At 43.8% G+C, this 20,031-nt stretch overlaps 1 protein-coding gene across 2 annotated transcripts in view; it reads right to left on the bottom strand.

The window, feature by feature from the left end:
* VCL (vinculin) overlaps nucleotides 1-20,031 on the bottom strand; it is a 123,248-nt gene that overhangs the window by 8,167 nt on the left and 95,050 nt on the right. The window contains exons 11-19 of one of the 2 annotated variants that reach the window (NM_014000.3): nucleotides 18,736-18,926; nucleotides 17,342-17,541; nucleotides 15,865-15,993; nucleotides 12,100-12,249; nucleotides 9,269-9,377; nucleotides 7,844-8,146; nucleotides 5,843-5,967; nucleotides 4,041-4,226; nucleotides 1,085-1,288 (exon numbers count right to left, since the gene is read on the bottom strand). In NM_014000.3, the coding sequence (NP_054706.1) occupies nucleotides 1,085-1,288; nucleotides 4,041-4,226; nucleotides 5,843-5,967; nucleotides 7,844-8,146; nucleotides 9,269-9,377; nucleotides 12,100-12,249; nucleotides 15,865-15,993; nucleotides 17,342-17,541; nucleotides 18,736-18,926 (1,597 nt within the window). The remainder of the gene's footprint in view (nucleotides 1-1,084; nucleotides 1,289-4,040; nucleotides 4,227-5,842; nucleotides 5,968-7,843; nucleotides 8,147-9,268; nucleotides 9,378-12,099; nucleotides 12,250-15,864; nucleotides 15,994-17,341; nucleotides 17,542-18,735; nucleotides 18,927-20,031) is intronic. The other variant, NM_003373.4, reaches the window with a different exon arrangement.

Raw genomic sequence — 20,031 nt, 5'->3', positions numbered from 1 at the left:
GCAGTGTTCAAAACTAGCTAAAAGTCCAGGCCCTACTCATTTTTCCCCTCATGCTCTTCATTTCTCTACAGTGCAGTGAGGCATACACAAACCATACCACTGCAGGGTGCTCTGCAAGAGGCCTCTACAGGCACCATGAAGCGGTTCATCATTTATGCTGGAAGGGTGTAACATCTCAGGCAGTAATTGAGGCCGGAGAGAACGCAGGTATGGGAAGAAGTCAAGAAGCAAGGGGTATGTTAGACAAGGTCCTCTGGGTCTACCTCTTCTAGTGCAGACCTAGGATCATTCCAGGACCCCATCACGTTGGTTAGAAGATAGCATAGTGCCATGGTTAGTGACTACCCATCACTCTTCAAAGCCTTTCTTCTTGCAGCATGCCACCTTTAAAGGGAAAAGTGATCACCCCAATCACCCTACTCTCCAAACTAGCTTTGGTTCATTCCCCAAGGCCAAAGTTCTATGGCGGCCTGTCTTGTGGCCTTGAGTACTCCATTTCCCACTCCCATTCCCTCCCACTGAGATACCTGGACAAGCAGTCAGTGAGGCCCCATTTTCTGTGGACTCCCATCAAGGCCAGCATCTGCCACATAGCCAAGTGCAGGGCAGCAAGCAGTCCTCCCCCAGAGACCCTGCCCTATAAAGCTGCCTCTCCCCCTCATCAACTCTCCCTGAGCCATCAGTGAGGGGTCAGTTGGGAGCAGGCAAAGCTCAATGGTCAGGCCAGGTGACCTCGTAATGGTCTACCATGGTTCCTGACCTGGAAGTCATTGAGAGATGCATTCACGGCTTCCCAAGGGGTTTCCAGCGATGGCCACAAAATCAGTAAGAAAAGGAATCCTTTCCAAAAGTGACCCCCCCCATCTCTCTTCATCCCCTAAACATAAATGCAGTCCAATTAATCTGGCGTTAGCAGACCTATCAAACTTGTGAAGCCAGTCCTAACAACATGGTGCAGACAGACAGATGCCCGCCCTGCTCAGACTCACAGGACCAGCACAGATCATGAGTGATGCAATGTGTCAAGGCTGCACATGGCCGGATGCATATGGAGCAGCCCCCAACTGGGGGTGCTTATCAGTACCTTACTAGACCACTTGGTAGCTTCCCGATGCAAGGACTGAGCCGCGGCCAGAATGGGCTGGTTGACCGGCTGATTGGATGGCATTAACAGCAGCTCAGGTTCGTAATCGTCTTCCATGTCAGGGGGGACAGGGAAGCCAGCAGCATCGGCCGCATCTGCCTCAGCTACAACACCTATACCCACCTCAGCGGCTGGGATGCCCGGCTTTGTCGATGGCGGGAAGGATGAGAAATAGGGATAGTGTTAGTAAGAGCAATACGACTTGGGAAACTGGGCTTCAGCTGGTTTAGTAACCAAAGCCTGCCTAGGATGAGAAAGAAACATGTTCTCTAGGAGCCTTGTGTACCAAGCTTCACAGAAGGGGGAATTCTCAGCCTCCAGCGCCACTCAGCCCAAGCCACTGTGTGGTGAGAGAAGAAAAGGGACTCACTCCAATGGCAAAGGGCTTCTAGAGAAATCTTTACACCAAGAAAGCAAGTGGCATCCATTTCTTTAATATACTTGATACTAAAGTCAAACTTGACAAGAGTGATTCTCACATGAGAATATTTCTGAGGAGCCAAACAACCAAACGATAGTAGCAAATTACCTTTAAAAGGAATCCGGAGAGAAAAAGTAAATGCAGCCACACAAGTTACTTTGTACAGAACAAAGTGAACACTGCTGGATCATATGGTCACTGTTCTACATTTTCCTGGGACACAGGAGGCAATTTGGGTCAGCTCTGCAGCTGCCAGACATAGATTATTTCCTTCATGAGTTAAAAGTCCCAGAATTAAAAATGATACATCAGAGGTAACGAATACCAAACTAGGAAAGAGGCAGGAAAAACAAACACAATGGTGACTGAAGAGAACTTAAGTACCCCACTGTCACCCAGCTGTAAGGAGCCTCAAGAAGCCACCTCGTCAGCCGCCCATCTCAGGGAACACCCACACATCAGACCAGCTCTCTATCCCCTCAAGGTCTTCTGAGGCAAAGCTTCTACCATCTCTTTTTGCATCCATTGCTAGTACCACCTCAGAAAGCTTCTCCTTGGGTACAACCTAAATTGCTTGCAAAATAGGTTCTCACTCACCCCAAACTCTGCTTATCTAGTTCACAGATAGAATAATATGTGAACTTGGCAAGTGACTGCAGCTGAGCTCACAGAAGCTCAGAAGAATGGTGCTCATTTAAGAATGAGAATCATGATGGAGAGAACATGAATTTAGAACCAGGGATGGAGATTATAAAAGCCAGATGCTGAAAATAGACTAACATGGAAAGAAAATTAAAAACTGCCACAATGAAGCCAAACCATTTATACAAAGAATGATGAATACAGGTTCTTTACATCAAACATCTGTACTCAAGAGGAAGTAGTTTATATGGAATTTTCTTTGAGGTTGTTACCACTCCTAAAAGTCTTAACCTGCACATGAAACCTGACTCCAAAGGGTGACGATGTTGGAGGATTCAGGGCCAACAAGGGGTTCAGATACCATCTAAACTCTTTTGCCTAAACTCAACCAAGACCCATCTCTGCTGCTCAGAAGAAAAGCCAGCTCACTGCTGCTAAGGCTCAGAGTCCCACAGTGTACAAAGACAGATAGGTTGACAGACACACGAACAGATATTCCTCCCCAGCCCAGTACACACATGGTTCAAGTAGCTTCTGACTTCACACAACTCAAAGTCAGCAAACTCCTGATCTTGCACACTTCAGGAGATAGACCTCAGGACTTCTGGCCACAAATGGCAGAGTGGGGCAAGTAATGTGGGCCAATGCTGTCTGCTTTTAAGTTTGTTTGTTTTTTTAAATAATTCATGTATATTTTTTGTTCTGCATAGTGTATTTTGGTTCATTGTAATGAAATTTAAATTTCCTTTAAAATCTTCACTGTCACCCTCCCCCACTCCCCATGCACAGTGGGGCTCTGCCACATGCAGTTGGAGAGATACCATTATAAATAATTCTACAGGTCAGGTCCAACACCAGCAAAGTCTCCCTTCCTTCTTAGAACCTGGGCTCACAGCTAACAGTTCAGCAAAATACAGAGTTAAAAACCAATGTGAATTTCCCAGCCTGAAAAAAATCCAAGATCAGCTGCAGGTGCAGGAGGTCCCTGAGGAAATACAATCGACACAAGAGCTTGAAAGCTTTGAGGATGTGTAAAGAATAAAGGCAAATAGGTGGTGGGAATAAAGATCTAGGGTCATAAAAACATTAAAAAAAAGATCTAGGGTCATATTAGAAACAGTTTAGAACTAAGAGCTACCTTTCACTGCAGGGTTAGCAATAATATTCCTCTTATCTAGAAAAGCTACTGCTCACTTTTCATCATTTAGGGGAAAATAGGCAAAAGTTATTCATAGGGCAAGACTGCTGTAGCATCCATATTTTTACCAACCACATTAATATTTACACCTTCAGATTTGCTGAGTAAGAGACAGCCTGGAGCTGTCTTGAGTTGACAGGTGAAATGATTCTGAGAAAGGACAAAAGCACATGGCTTCTAAGATACCAATCTACTTGCTTCTGTGGAAAAAAAAAGAAAATGCAAACATTTCATCTAGCTTTAGCACAGCCCACACAATTCATATTTGGAGCTCTGATCATTAGCAATGTAGCATCTAAAAACATTTGCAGTTCCAAGAAAGATAAGCAATTTCTAAAAGACCCCAAATGCTAAGGTCAAGGCACCTGGCACTCTAATGGACAAAGGACAGGAATCCTCTTCTCAAATCACAGGCACCCTGACTCTGGCTTTTGCAAGCTTGAAGGAGAAACCATCAGGTGTCAGAAACATCTCACTAAAGCACAGGTAAGAAGAGGAATATGCTATTGGCAACACAGGAACCAAAGGAGAGAGAGAGGGTGACTCCAAATAGACTCTTCTTTCTGGGTCTTTCATGGTCCTTCATCCTTTCCGAGAAGACATCCTTTCTCAACAAGAAAAGCTTCACTACTTACCTTGCTGGACCATTTGCGAGCTTCATCATGGAGCTGTCTGGCAGCCATCATCATTGGCTGGTTAATCACCTCCCCGGCCTTCTGCTCAGGGAACTCTTCATCCTTTTCCTCTGGTGGTGGAGGCCTAGGTGGAGGGACCTCACCTTCAGGCAGAGGTGGTTTGGGAGGAGCAAGCTCATCTGTTAGCTAAAAAAGAGAAAACAAGTTGTAAGTAAAGTCCTAAAACTACTCCCCCCTGGAATTCTTTCCTTTCTTCTAAAAAGCATCCCTAGAAAACCCACCCATATTGACTCCACATAAGACCACCCACACTGAGCCACAAGGACCACCTGCTTCAATCTCAACAGAAGCAGGTTTCTCTACAAAAAGCTAGCAGTGGCCGGGCGCAGTGGCTCACGCCTATAATCCCAGCACTTTGGGAGGCCAAGGCAGGTGGGTCACCTGAGGTCAGGAGTTCGAGACCAGCCTGCCCAAAATGGTGAAACCCCATCTCTACTAAAAACACAAAAATTAGCCGGGCATGGTGGCATGTGCCTATAATCCCAACTACTCAAGAAGCTGAGGCAGGAGAATTGCTTGAACCCGGGAGGCAGAGGTTGCCGTGAGCTGAGATCATGCCACTGCGCTCCAGCCTGGGCGACAGAGCAAGACTCCATCTCAAAACAAGAAAAAAAGAAAAAAAAAAAAGGCTTGCAGCTACTGTTTTGGTTGCATCCCAGGGAAGTATACACAGTGCTACCAGATGAAGGATTCTCAAAAAGTCCCTACAGAAGATGTAAGTTGTGGTCCTGGTTCTACCAGAAAGCAGCTACATAGGCAAGTAACTTCTCCCCTTGGCCTGAGGTTCCTCATCTGTCACTGAGGGGTAGCTAGACCAAATGACCTCTAAGATCCAGATTCTAAATGACATAACTCTGTTGCTCACATAAGAAGCCATTCCCAGGAATAGCCCTCTCTCCCAGCTCTAAACACCCACCAAGCACCCAGCTGGGAAGAATCTAAGATGCGTTGAAGGCTGGGAAACACTGTTCCTTAGCTGTGTGTGCGATGACACAATTTTGTACTCAACCAACTTAAAAACTTAACATCTTTTACTGACATTAAATATGGGAAAGTAAATCAGATTATTGCCTTGATAAGTTATTTACAAAGTCAAGGTATTTCTAATACTGTTAGTTGGAATAAGTGTCTAGAAATAATCACTATTTCTGTTTCTGGAATTTGTGTCTGCAACATACTGCCTAGCTAGCTTCTTCCTACACCATGTAAAAATATATTCACAGTACTTGCGGGGGGTAGTGGGGAAGGTATCTAAAGATCTTAAATTATAGTTAGGGAAAAATTTTTTAAAAGCATGTATCTTGTTACTTAAAAAAAAGTCAAATAAAGGAAAGAACCAACACAAGATTTCAACCACCTCGGTTCTACCATTATCAACTAAGAACACACCAAATCTCCTTACTCCAAGCTGTGCAGATTATTTTACCACAATGCACTACCTCATCACTCATCACATCCACACTTACCAAAGCCAGCTCCTCTGCTCCAGCCGCTCCCCATCACAGCAAGCCACTACCACACACACCAGTACTACACACACACACACAACCCATGCATATAAGCACTAGGTTATAACTCCACTGGATTTAGGAATGAAAATCGAGATCTGCCTCCCACTAAGCTTCAAATGAAAGCTAAACGAAGCCACCTAGTGATGGAGGCTCTAAAACACAATCTACCTCTCTCTTGCTGAAGTCTCAACACCTTCCTGCTCAATTCTCTGCATATCTGAATTTACTTACTCGGAGTTGTTCAAGGTCTGGTGGAGGCGGCGGGAAGTCAGGCTCCTGAGGTTGGAAGGCTTCTCTGACCTTGGCCACAGCTCCCAGGATCCGATATCCTGAGTCCAGGAAGCTCTTTTGCAGTCCTAAACACAAGACATCCTCACTTTCAGCTGGGTGGGTCAGTGCCCCAAAGCACTGTCTGTGCAGCAGCAGAACTGGTTCCATGAACAAAAGCTGGATGTGAAGCTGCCAGTAAATATCACGGGCAGTGATTGAAGAAGGGGGGAGGCAGGACAAGGCAGATGCCCTGAGGCCTGCAGAGCATTGGAAGCATCACAAACCAGCTGTTCTTTTAGTGTTCAGGGTGCCTTCTTGGCTGTACAACTAAAAAGTACCCAGGAGATCCCTGGGCATGAACACTTTGGGCTCAGGTGGCATCCATCACCTCTCTTATGATGAGGCAGTCAAGAGATAAGCCTGCCCAACTCAGAACATGGGAGATGTCAGTTTCAGATTGGACATACATTCCCTGAAGTACTTCTCACCTTTCTCTCTACTCCTTTGCTGTCCTTGGCATTCAGTATGTTAACCCTTATGCTGAGCTGCGCTACTCTGTTCAGTTGCCTGGAATTCAGGAATCTACTCTACTATTAGAAACTCCAATTAGGAAACCAAGCATGTCCTTAGTGATAATGGGTTTTGGATATTAGAAAGATTCTGCCTGAACCAGAGATGAATAGGGGAGCCCCTCCTTCCTACTCTCTTGCATTGACTGCATTCTACTCATAGACAAGACTGAAAACATCAGATGTTCAAAACAGGAAGGAATTCAGATGATTTCAACCAAAGGAGCGGCTCCAATTATGATCTGCCATGGTAGTACCAAAAATATGATCAAAATTCACCTAAAGAAAACCCAGATTTTCTTTAGGTGTAGGGCCTAGGAGACCCACAGATCAACTTAAGCCCTCCAGATTTGATAGAAACTGAGAATGCTTTACAAAGAAAAAAAAGCATTTTAAGAAAAGCCCAAGAGAAGTTAACACCAGTTACATAAACTAAATGGATGGTAAATTGGTTATCATGCATCTTTTGAAAATTTTCCAAAATAATGACTGAACAAGGCGAGGAGCTATTTAGCCAGACCATATTAAGAAAGCACAGGCTGGATGCCTGTAATCCCAGCACTTTGGGAGGCCAAGGCGGGTGGATCAACTGAGGTCTGGAGTTTGAGACCAGCCTGGCCAACATGGTGAAACTCTGCCTCTACTAAAACTACAAAAAATTAGCTGGGTGTGGTGGTGGGAGCCTGTAATCCCAGCTACTCAGGAGGCTGGGGCAGGAGAATCACTTGAATCCAGGCGGGGGCGGAGGTTGCAGTGAGCCAAGATTGTGCCATTGTACTCCAGCCTGGGCAACAAGAGCAAAACTCCGTCTCAAAAAAAAAAAAAAAAAAAAAAGCGCAGAGGTTGGGCACGGTGGCTCACACCTGTAATCCCAGCACTAAAAAAGCGCAGAGGTTGGGCACGGTGGCTCACACCTGTAATCCCAGCACTTTGACAGGCCAAGGCGGGTGGATCACCTGAGGTCAGGAATTCAAGACCAGCCTGGCCAACATGGCAAAACCCTGTCTACTAAAAACATAAAAATTAGCCAGGCATGGTGGCACACACCTGTAATCCCAGCTACTCGGGAGGCTGAGGTAGGAGAATCGCTAGAACCCAGAAGGTGGAGGTTTCAGTGAGCTGAGATCATGCCACTGCCCTCTGGCCTGGGTGAGAGTCTCAAAAAAAAAAGAAAGCACAGAGAAGTTGGTCCAGAAAAACTAACATACAACAAGCCTGCTGATAACTGCAGAGACTTGGATGGAAAAAGATTAATCTAGCATTCTCAAACTAAGTGTCTATAGTTTTTGCCCCCAGACTTTGTATGTGGTGGTTGTGGGGTACATATTCCCTCACGACCTTTCCTGAGTTAACCTCTCAGTGGAGGTGAGACATAGTGCCATGCATTGCTTACCAGGGTCGGAAATGTTTCCAGCCACAGCTTTTGCATCCATCACCATCGGGGAGATGGTTTTGCTCAATTCATCAGAGGCAGCTTTCACAGCCTCACGGAACTTGGGATCCTCGGAATTCTCCACCTCCCTCTTAGCCACCAGCAGGATCCGGTTGGCCCGACGAGCAATACTGGTTGCCCCAGCAACCAGCATCTGAGGCTGAATGTTGGCCATAGCTACCTTGCACTTGTCCAGGTCTTTTTTAATTGCTTCTTCTGAAGCATCCAACAGAGATTTGGTATCAATGGCTTCGTCCACCAGCCCTGTTAGGAAAACAGAAATGGAATTTAGTTTCAATTTAGAAGAACAGAAACTCCAAAACACTGTTATCCACTCAAACTTCTCATGAGAAAGTATAACATCCAGAATTCTCTTCTTCAGCTCAAACTCTTCCTACATAATCAAAAGCTTCCAGGTAAACACCACAGTTAAAAAAAACAGTGAGGACATAGCCCAAAAGCCCATCTGGATTTGCAGCATTTATACCAACCGTGGTTGCCAGCCTTCTTGTATCCACCCCAGACAACCAGAAATGCAACATCGGGAGGAAACAAGGAATATGTCTGAAACCATCACTGCATCACCACCACGTTATCTGTGAATAATATTTTCTCCCTGTCCCTCTCACTCCCCAGCCATCTGTTGCTTGTTGGCAGCTTGTAGTGCTCAAGATGAGCCATGCGGAGGATTCCAATAACCCTAACAGCCTATTTCTTATTCCTGTTACCTCTCTTCAGACACCTCAGGAGTTCCACTTTCATCTCGGGCTGCCATGGACCCCAGTCACAGCAGGTTCTGCAGGGACAGCAAAAAGCCTACATTCCTCATTCCTTCTTTCCTATCTCTCCCTTTACAGAGAATGAAGACGATTCAGAGGTGCCACTTCAATTGCACAGACACAGGTTTGCTGGTGGTTGGTTTCTCCTTTTTAAAAAAACTACGTAGTTGATAAGTTGGAGGAAACTTTGAGACAAGTTGTATTAAATGGTAGCTATTGTGGTTCCTTGAAATGTGAACCCACTGAAAATGACAGGGACACTTACTGTATCCACAAACACCGCCTCCCAGCCTCTGAAACCAAACTCGGGCTCGGACTGGGCAAAGACACTATTCAAAGAGAAGATAGGAGTGGTGACAATAAACATCACGCCAGGAGGGCAGCATTAAAATAAAAGAGACTCAAAGAGTCTCTCTTCTGACAAAGTTGCAAGGCTTGAATGAGAAGCCGCCACTGCTCAGCAGCCTTAAGCAGAGCCAAGTACACTGCTCAGCACGTGACCGGCCCTTTATCCAATTACAGCTGAGTAACAGAACCAGTCCCGCTCCAATTTCTCAGAACTCATTCTTCATGGATTAGACAACAAGATTTGTATAGAAAACTCTACCTGTCATTTTTTCAACATTATCGATCCACTGGTTCTTCATGGTCTCAAAATGTTCATAAGCAGCTTGATTTCCAGGGTTCCTAAGTAAGATACGAGCAGCCGAGACCACCTGACAATGACAAAACACCTTTAAACACCAGAGCACCCTTGCTCTCCAGATACAAACCTTCAGCCAAGCTTTCTCCTCTTTACCTACAGATGGCACTGTAAAGCCAGAAAGTGGCAAGTCTCTTTTCAGGCTGAATACATGAGGTTTGGTCTCAATAAACAGCTCCCCAGAATGGGCCCTTCACAGGAAGGTTTTACCATCACAGCCTGATTTTAAGAAGGTAATAAAGTGACAAAGTAAATGAGTGTCCACTTGATACTTCAGAAGAACATACACAAAACTGGCATATGTTTAAACACTTGATGTCAACTCTTCCATCTTAAAAATCACCATTAAGAAGGATACCGAAAAGTACTCAAAACTGATTTATGAATAATATGAAGAAAAAATCCTCACAACAACCCCATGAGACAGGACAGTTAATATCTCTACTTTAGAGATGCAAAAACCAAGTCTCAGAAAATTTAAGTGACTGCTCAAGAGGTCCTGGCCAGTCAGTTACAGCATTTGGGGAAAAAAGGATTAACATTTGCCACGTATCTGGTAAGATACAGGCTGTACATGCATATTCTTAATCCAAATAGAGTCCATTAGGAAGGAGTTAGCTCCATTTTACAGATGAGAGACTAAGCATCAAGAGCACAGAGGAGTCGGCCGGGTGCAGTGGCTCATACCCATAATCCCAGCACTTTGGGAGACCGAGGCGGGTGGATCACTTGAGGTCAGGAGTTTGAGACCAGCCTGGCCAATATGGTGAAACCCCATCTCTAATAAAAATACAAAAAACTAGCCGGGTATGGTGGTGGACGCCTGTAATCTTAGCTACTGGGGAGGCTGAGGCAAGAGAATCGCTTGAACCCCGGAGGCGGAGGTTGCAGTGAGCCAAGATCATGCCACTGCACTCCAGCCTGGGCAACAGAGCAAGACTCCGTCTCGGAAAAAAAAAAAAACTCACAGAGGTCTCAAGTCCAAATCTGTCTCCAGAGTCCTCATTTTATCTATAATTGGTGTTATAAGCCTAGATTCCTGTTCCTCCTTTTTAGGAATCTCAGTTTCATATTGAAATTGTATTTTATGTTCCATGTTTTATGGGAGCTTTTAAAGAGTGTTAGACATGTTTGTAGCTTATGAAAAATTGTGTAAAAGTTGGACAAGTTAAAAAGTTGGACAAGAGGATCTAATTTATTAACACGCCACACAGGCAAAAGTTTAATGATTCAGAGACATGTTTATTTCCCCCATATCTCCTCACAAGTTCACACATAAGCCAGTATCACAAATTTATAAAGCCTAGCATAGTTTCGAATGTATCATAGGCACTCAGTAAATGTCTGAATAAATAAATGAAAAAATAATGAATTTTCTATAATTTGAATAGAAGAAAAATTGCACAAACATCACACTAAATAATGTTGAGCTAATATTTTTAAGAAAACCTATCACATAGTAAACTTTTAATAACTGTACAGTTTGGTTTTTTTTCCCAATCTTCCTTTGCTCCCAAACTTACTAGCCATGCCTTGTTACACAATAAGTAGAAAAAAGAAAGTTATAGAAACAGATCAATTTAAAAAAAAAAAAAAAACTCTCACAAAGATGTGGAGAAAAGATATAAACTCCAAAATCAAAACAAAGTAGCCTCTTAAGATTATCCAAGCCGGCCGCAGTAGCTCATGCCTGTAATCTCAGCACTTTGGGAGGCCGAGGTGGGCGGATCATGAGGTCAGGAGTTCAAGACCAGCCTGGCCAACATGGAGAAACCCTGTCTCTACTAAAAAATAGAAAAATTAGCCGGGCATGGTGGCGGGTGCCTGTAATCCCAGCTACTCAGGAGGCAGAGTCAGGAGAACCACTTGAACCCAGGAAGTGGAGGCTGCAGTGAGCTGAGATTACACCATTGGACTCCAGCCTGGGTGACAAGAGCGAAACTCTGTCCCTCAAAAAAAAAAAAAAAAAAGATTATCCAAATATTTTCCTAGTTATGTGTGTATGTGGCAAGGGGATTGCTTTACTAATTTTTTCTACTTTCAAAACTAAGATCGAGACCATCCTGGCTAACAAGGTGAAACCCCGTCTCTACTAAAAATACAAAAAAAATTAGCCGGGCGCGGTGGCGGGCGCCTGTAGTCCCAGCTACTCGGGAGGCTGAGGCAGGAGAATGGCGTGAACCCGGGAAGCGGAGCTTGCAGTGAGCCGAGATTGCGCCACTGCAGTCCACAGTCCGGCCTGGGCGACAGAGCGAGACTCCGTCTCAAAAAAAAAAAAAAAAAAAAAAAACTAATAAATAGTCCTTGTAAAAAAAAATTCAAATGTTATGAAAATGTATAAAGACGGTGACAGGGTCTTGCTCTGTCACCCCAGGCTGGAGGGCAGTGGGGCAATCAAAGCTTACTGCAGCCTCAACCTTCTGGGCTCAAATAATCCTCCCACCTCAGCCTCACAAATAGCTGTGTTCACAGGCATGCGCCACCACACCCAGCTAATTTTTTTTTTTTTGGTAGAGTCGGGGTCTTGCTGTATTGCCCAGGCTGGTCTCAAACTCCCAGGCTCAAGCAGTCCTCCCGCCTCACCCTCCCAAAGTGCCGGAATTATAGGTGCTACCGTGCTGGCCTGTATATGTTTTTTTATGCCATCTTACGGTAAGTATTCAAAAATGTATAGAAACTGTTCTGTAATTAACTTTCTTTACTGAACACTGTATGAGGAATGAGCAAAACCCAACCTGGGGTGTGAGTTCTCGGGCCGTCTTCACTGAGGCCTGAATGCCTTCCACTGTTGATTTATTAGCAGTACCAACCGCAGCCGCCTTCTCGGCCGTAGCACCAAGCTTTCCTGAATGGTTTTCAAAGTTAGCTGCCCTCTCATCAAATACCTTGAGGAAAAAACAGATATTAAGAACATTTATTTCAATAAAATGGGTCAGGCAGCCTAAGAAAAAGTTTCATCCTTTAAGAAGGGCAGCAACTGCTCAAAGACTTTAGAGATGACATCAAACCCTAGTTAATAAAACAACAGTCAAACTCCAAATCCTGGCCTTGATGGATCTCCTCAGACGTTTAGCCATCACCATCATGTGCAAATGCACACAAACACACTCACACACACACGCACATAACCTTCATTTCCAGTTCAACCAGTGCTTACCAGGTACAAGCAGGAGCATTATATACTCTGCAGTAATTTGCTGAATGTGAAGACTAAACAACCCCCATTCTCAAAAGCTTATCTTCTAGTTTGAAGAAGACAGTCAAGCCCACTCCAGGCTCTATTGTAGGCAGCTGGGTACATTAAAAGCCCAGAACATCCACACAGTCCTAAATTGAGCTCCAGGCTCCCCAGAGCAGCATCCTTCATATATCCCATTACCATTAATGTTGTAAAAACTCTGCCATTGACCTCCAAGGGAAAAATGATAGCTGGTGCTCACACTCAGGCCTCAGGGCAAGGATGACTGACTTTTATTAACCCCAAATGCAAAATCATCTACTTAATTGTTCATTCAGCTCTCAAATTCTAAAAAAGTTAATGTTTCCTTTAACAGGGATACTGTGCAAGGTTGCATACTGTGGAGGGGACTATTAAACTTAAAGTAGCAAGAGATCTTTGGTCATTTGTTAGAATAGATTCTTGCAAAAGCTTATCTTCTTCAAACTAGAAGATAAGCTTTGGAGAATGGGGTTTATTTAGTCTTCACATTCAGTTACTTACTTACTGCATTATTAGAACTGATGCTTCCCAACAGCACTGGGTCAGGTTTATACACTACACGAACATGTCTGGAGCTGCCTAGTGGAATGCGTCCTCTTTTTTGTCAACTTCTGCCTAACTTGGAGATCAGTTCTGGCTCTAGACAATCTCTAAAGGTCTCTTGGTTCAATAGCAGGTTCCAAATCATTGCCAGTGTTCTGTGTCTATCTTCTCAAGTCTCTTCCCCACGCCAGCCTCTTGTTTGGATTTAACTACATGGGTTCCTGCCATTTAATGCTGAGAATCTCTGCCTAAAATCCCTGATCTCCTAGCCTCCTTCCCGTGGCCTCAGTTCTTTTACCCTAGCTGGTCTCCCACACTCTGGATCTCCTGGGCTTTTACCTACCTAATATCCTTGGTTGACCATCTCAATGCCAGACCATGACTGCTGCTCCTTCTGATTTAACTAACTGCTTAACTTGCTTTTCTCGTCACTCAACCAAAATTTACTGAGCACCTACTATGTGCCAGACCCTGAGACAGGTGCTGAGGACACAAAAATGAGTAAAACACAATATCCTCATCTCAAGGAACTCACAGCCCAGTGAGAAAAAAGCACTCGAAAACAGATTTACAATACAGTGTGCTATGTACAATAATAGAGCTAAGCACTGATACTATAGGTAGGAGCAAAAGAAAAAGCACTTAACCTCTCTAGGAAACAAAGGATAATAGGATGAAGGATAAATAGTAATTCACCAAAAAAGAAGGGGAAGATAATTACACAGAAAAAACAAAGACATGGAAAAGACAGACTGTGCAGGAAACCACAAGCAACTAGGTATAGCTAGGGCCAGAAATGAGAGGGAGGGGTTTGTAGGAAACAGGTATGGGAAGTGTCAGAGCTAGATCACAGAGCCCTGGCCTTATCCTCTGTGAAAGTACAGGCCCCACTGAAGGGTTTAAGCAGGAGAATGTCAGAGTCAGGTTGTATTTTTATTTGATTGATGGCCTAGTGAAAGAGTCAAAGAAGACCAGTTAGAGCTATGCAGTCATAGCTCTAGGGGGACTAGGGGACTAGGAAAATAATTAGAGCTCTGGCAATATGAACAGAAAATGGATGTGAGATTAAATGAGTGTGCCTTAGTTGTTTATTTGTATGAACGGGTGTGGGGAAGGGAAAAGTCAATGACAACTCACAAATTTCTGAGAGAGAACAGAAGGACAACATATGCTGAGGTAACTAGGAAGACTGTAGGTGGAGAGGCCCACCTAGATGTATCTACTAGCCTGAAAGAGAAGTCTGGAATTAAAAAAATAGCAAATCATCTCAGCCTAAGGGAACAATCAGCTGAACTGCCTAGTAACTCAGGTTACAGAAAGAAAACTGGGGTAATCAGCACATAATAACAAAAACCTCCACCTACCAGTTCTACACTGTCTTGGGTACCTGACCCAAACCCCTTCTCATTCGCTGCCAATACTATAAAGGCTGGAAAACCAAATACTTGCTTTCCTAAACTCCTTTGCAGCTAGGGTGGCCATGAGACAGAGTTCAAGCCAATGAGGCATAGCAAAGCTCTCCTGGACAATTTCTAAGAAAGCCTCTATTTTCACTCATTCAGCACCAACAATGTGGCAGGCACTGTTCCAAGAAGGGGGAATAAGGCAATGACAGAATAAAGTCCCTCCCTGCATGGAGCTTTCATGGTAGTGGGAGGGAGACAGACAAACCAAAAATGAAAAATGGGTAAATACATTAAATGTTGATAAATGCTAAGTGAAAAAGTAGGATATGGAGATGAAGAAATCCATGGGGATAGTAGTTGGGGTGGTGGTGTTATCTTAGTGGTCACCCGAAAGTGACATTTCAGTAGAAAGCTGAAGAAAGACAGTAACTAATAGATATGGTTATCTGGAGAAGACTGGAACAAACGAGTGCAAAGGCCCCAAGATTAGAACATATAAATACACACTAGGAATACAATTCAAGGAGGTACATACAGATGTAGCATGAGGGGGAAGAGTGGTACCACACGAGAGCAAAGAAATGGATGGGGACCAGATCCAGTGGTGTGCTAAAGCCACCTGTACCGACTCGTGCCAGCTCACAGGAGCGAAACATGTCCATCTCTTCCCAACTCAGGTTTCAGTGACTTCATGTTGAAACAGCCACCGTGGGAGTATTTACATAATGGAAATCAACAAACATTACAAATCAAGGTTTTTCGTTTTCCTGGAGAGTTGGCTTACCAGCACATCGCTGGCAATTTTCTTCATTGTTAGCACTCTGGTTTTACTCTGGGATAGCGGGGAGTCATTGGAAGGGTCTGAGTATAAGAATGACATCGATTGATTTAAAAAGATCATCCTGACTCGAAAGGCACAGTTGTGACTGGAGTACCCCCATTCTTCATTTCTTCCTGCATTTAACATGATGCCATCCCACACCCTGAGAAAATGACCTAGAAAATCATAGAAATGCCAGCTTTCATGATATTTAGCTGCTGAACCAATGCCAAAGCCACCTACTTCCATGTTTCTTGGTTTGTGATGAAAACAAACCCGGTTGTTTTCATCTCTGATGGTCAGGTCTTCTATTGCTTGCAACTAAAGATATTCCTCACTGATATACGTGGAGACTAAAAGTAGAGGTGGTAGGGCTTTCCCTGTTCTGCTCTTCCACCCTTCATCTACAGTTTCCCAACCACTGATCCTGATGTCCACTGTAATCACATTTCACCTTTACATATACCTATAGCACAGGCTGACAGAAAAATGGAAGACCTCAGATACCCACCTCTTCCCTGTTAGGCGCATCAGGAGGCGCCGTGGCTGCCACTGCCAACAGCTTGATGGGAGTTGTGGTATCGCTGAAAACATCTGACACTTCCTGAGTCATGGCCTCCTGCATCCGAGCTTTTAGATCCTTAAAAACATTGTTTACATATGAAAATGTCCAGATACATCCTCAAAGCATATCTACTAATGCCCTTACTTCACTGACATTCATTCATCTATTCAGTCTTTCATTCAATAAATATTTGTTAACTGTGTACAAAGCACTGAGCTAGCACAGAACAGGTGTAATTTATGAATCCTGCCCTGTAAGACATTAGTGGTGTAGTAGAAATAAGACATGACCCACATGTCCCTAGAGACTGTTCCACTCAATCAAGGAACCCTACTTCCTTTTTTGGTGGCCTCCATGAAATGATACTGAGAATCATGAGGTTGAGCCCAAAGAAGGCCCAGAGATGGGCTAGAGTTCCACACCATTGCCAGTGCTGGCGGGGCCTGATAACGATCACAGTAACTGTAAGGATTGTTTGGTGGATGTAGTGCCAAATTCTAAGCAATTTATTGTCTTAAGAGGAAAGAAATCAAGAATGGGAATTTTTTAATCCAGGTTCTTTCAATTAAGTTTTCTAGAAAAACTCAATAACAAATATCTGTATCAATTTCTCAACATGGGTCTAAATAAGAGTATTCTTAGAAGCCATGAACAAGCTCTTTTTCATAGTCATCACATTTAATCCAATTTAAGTTTTCTGGATATATACAAAGAAGTCTCCATCACCCTCATTGTTTTGCAAGGTGGGCAGCATAAACTAGCTGGTGATACCTGAGATAATTTTAGGTGTTACATGGGCAAATGTTTTTATTTTAATAATTATGTGTTTCTTTTAAAGGATAATAGAAAAAATACAACTAGCTTATCAAACCCAAGATTTCAGGATTACAAAGTTTTCTTTCATTTATTTATTTATTTATTTATTTGAAATGGAGTCTCGCTCTGTCACCCAGGCTGGAGTGCAGTGACGTGATCTTCAACCTCTGCCTCCCAGGTTCAGGTGATTCTCCCACCTCAGCCTCCCAAGTAGCTGAGATTACAGGCATGTACCACCATGCCCGGCCCACAGAGTTTTCTCTTAAATAAATTTAAGTTTTAAAAAGAAGTCCATTTAAAAAAAAAAAAAAAGTCCATTTTAAGAAAAATATTGGCTAAATAAAAGTACAGATGATATGTGGATAGAGCAAAAATCACGAAAGGGCTCTTGACTGAGTGGAATTTGGAAAACACAAATTTAGTTGCTACTATATACCAGCAAGCTTTTTCCTAATAAGCTCTAGATTTCCTTATATCTTTGGTCACACTCTTTTCATTTTCCCTAGACCCCAGAAATTATGTATTTTTCAAAACTCTCTCTTCCTTCCCTCGTCTTTCAATAATAGGAAGCATAAAAAGTAAAATGATATGTGCTCCTGACTTCTACCTTTAAGGAGTCTTGGAGCTGAGATGCAAGTGCTCGTGCCTGAGGACTCTCCCCTTCCCCTCTGGCAGCCAGGTCAGCCAGCTGGGCTGTCAGCTGGTCCACTCGGTCACACTTGGCGAGAAGATCTTGCCGATAAGGCCCCATCATAACATTAGCCAGACGATGCCCTTCGGCCACAAGCCCCCGGATGGCAGCCTGACCTGGACCAAGAGAAAAACAATGAAACTTACAAGACCCAGAGGAGACAATTGCAATGCCATTCTGTGGTGCGATGTGGCGTCTTGCTCTATCACCCAAGCTGGAGTGCAGTGGAACAACAGCTCATTGCAGCCTTGACCTGCCGGCTCAAGCAATCCCTCCCACCACAGCCTCTCAAGTAGCTGGAACTACAAGTGTGCACCACCATACCTGGCTAATTGGTTTTTTTTAGAGAGACAGGGTCTCACTATGTTGCCCAGGCTGGTCTCAAACCCCTGAGTTCAGGCGATCCACCCACCTCGGCCTCCCAAAGTGCTGGGATTACAGGGATGAGCCACCGCACCCAGCCAGTTCTTTTTATTTAACACTTTATTTTTATTTCACTATCTTTTAAAATCATGATCTAAAATCTATGTAATATTTTATCATATTAACAATAATTATTTCACAAGTCAGTTATTATTAAACATTTATGCTGTATGCATATATTCCTGTATGCAACTTCTTAGAAAGATCTCTAATTATTTCTTAGGGAAGAAACCCTTAATTTCCTGAGTCAATGGGTATGAACTTTGTTTAAAGCTCTTGACATCTAATACCAAATTTAGAAAGTTTGTACTAATTTATTTCTCCAGTAAATTATATATGTGCCCAATTCTCCAACTCCTCACAACACTGGGCATAACTAACTTAGAATTTTGTTCTTTTTTGTTTTGTTTTTAAAGAGACATGGTCTCTCTCTGTCACTGAGGTTAGAATGCAGTGGTGTGATCATAGCTCACTACAGACTGGAACTCCTGGTCTCAAGCGATCCTCCCACCTCAGCCTCCCAAGTAGCTGGAAAGGTGTGACTACAGGTGAGCATCACTATGCCCAGCCAATTCTTTACTCTTTTATTTTTGTACAGAGAGGGTCTTGCTATGTTGCTTGGCTGGTCTCAAACTCCTGGGCGCAAGTGATCCTCCCACCTTAGCCTCCCAAAGCACTTGGATTACAAACATGAGCCACCATGCCTGGTCTGCTTCTTGATTACATCACAGGAATTTTACTGGCTGCATTTGGAAATGGAATCACAGTTACTTATCAGCAGCTAAAGAACCCTTACCTAATTACAGATGTTACAGGACCCCTATCAACAACTTGCTTATTTGCACTGAGACCAATTTAATGAGGTTATAGTGCACTGCTGCCCTTACCGACTCCACGGTCATCCACTGTGGGATTATCAATCCACCGCTGTGCTTGCTCAATCTTGCCCTCAAGGTGTACAGCTGCTTTGGCCGGTCTGCTGTTGGCCACAGCCCGGTTGGTTTTGGTCTGCAGGTTCTGCAGGGCCGTGGCCACCTGTTTGGCCAAGGCTCGAGCCTCTGGAGAATCTCCTTTCCCCCTACAGAGAAAAAGACAGCCATCCTGTCACACATAAACACTATTTACATTGAGATCACTTAGCTGCTAATGACAAATGCTAATAGGATGACAAATTGCTCCTGATTACTATTAATTTGGTTTGAAAGGAGTGGTTTATTTATTTGGCCCTTACATAAGAAATTAATAATTTACATTCAGATTATTTTGTCCTAGTTAAGACATTAAATATGAGTTTGCATCAGTAAAGCTCAGATCAATCATTTGGTTAGCGGAGCTCAATCAATCATCACTAGGTTAGCGGCACCCTCTGCCTGCCACCTCTGAAAACACCAGTTTCCTCTGGAACTGGGTGGGCCCAGGCAGCCATGTTTGTTGTAGGAGCAGCTGAAACAGTTATAGTCAAACTAGTAGTAATACTATCTTTTGAGTCCTAATTCTGCCAGGTACTGTTACAAGCAATTTTTTGTTGTTGTTTGTTTTTTGTTTTGAGAGGGGTTTTGCTCCATCACCCTGGCTGGAATGCAGTGGTGAGATCATGGCTCACAGCAGGCTTGACCTCCCAGGGCTCACTGCAGCAATCCTCCTGCCTCAGCCTTTCAGGTAGCTGGGACTATAGGTATGCACCACCACACCTGGCTAATTAAAAAAAAAAATATTTCGTGGAGATAGGAAACATTCTCCCGATGTTTCCCAAGCTGGTCCTTAACTCCTGGGTTTAAGTGATCCTACCACCTGGGCCTCCCAGAGTCCTGTGCTGGGATTATAGGCATGACCTACCACACCCAGCCATAAGCAGTTGCCTTATATTATTTAATCCTTACAACAACCCTATGATGTAAATAACAGTATTATCCTCATTATTAAAGAAACAAAATGGAGGTATGAGGTTGGATAACTTGCCCAATGTCCCATTATTTACTTTGATAGAGTCAGGATTCAAACCCAGCACCGTGACTTCAGAGTCGCCACACTTTTTTTTGTTTGTTTTGTTTTGAGATGGAGTCTCGCTGTGTTGCCCAGGCTGGAGTGCAGTGGCACGATCTCGGCTCACTGCAACCTCTGCCTCTCGGGTTCAAGCCATTCTCTTGTCTCAGCCTCCTGAGTAGCTAGGATTATAGATGCCC

This window comes from Homo sapiens, chromosome 10 (genome assembly GCF_000001405.40).
Source record: "Homo sapiens chromosome 10, GRCh38.p14 Primary Assembly".
Classification (NCBI taxonomy): Eukaryota; Metazoa; Chordata; class Mammalia; order Primates; family Hominidae; genus Homo; species Homo sapiens.
Note: the sequence above shows the minus strand (reverse complement) of the source record. Positions and strands in the feature narration are given on the sequence as shown.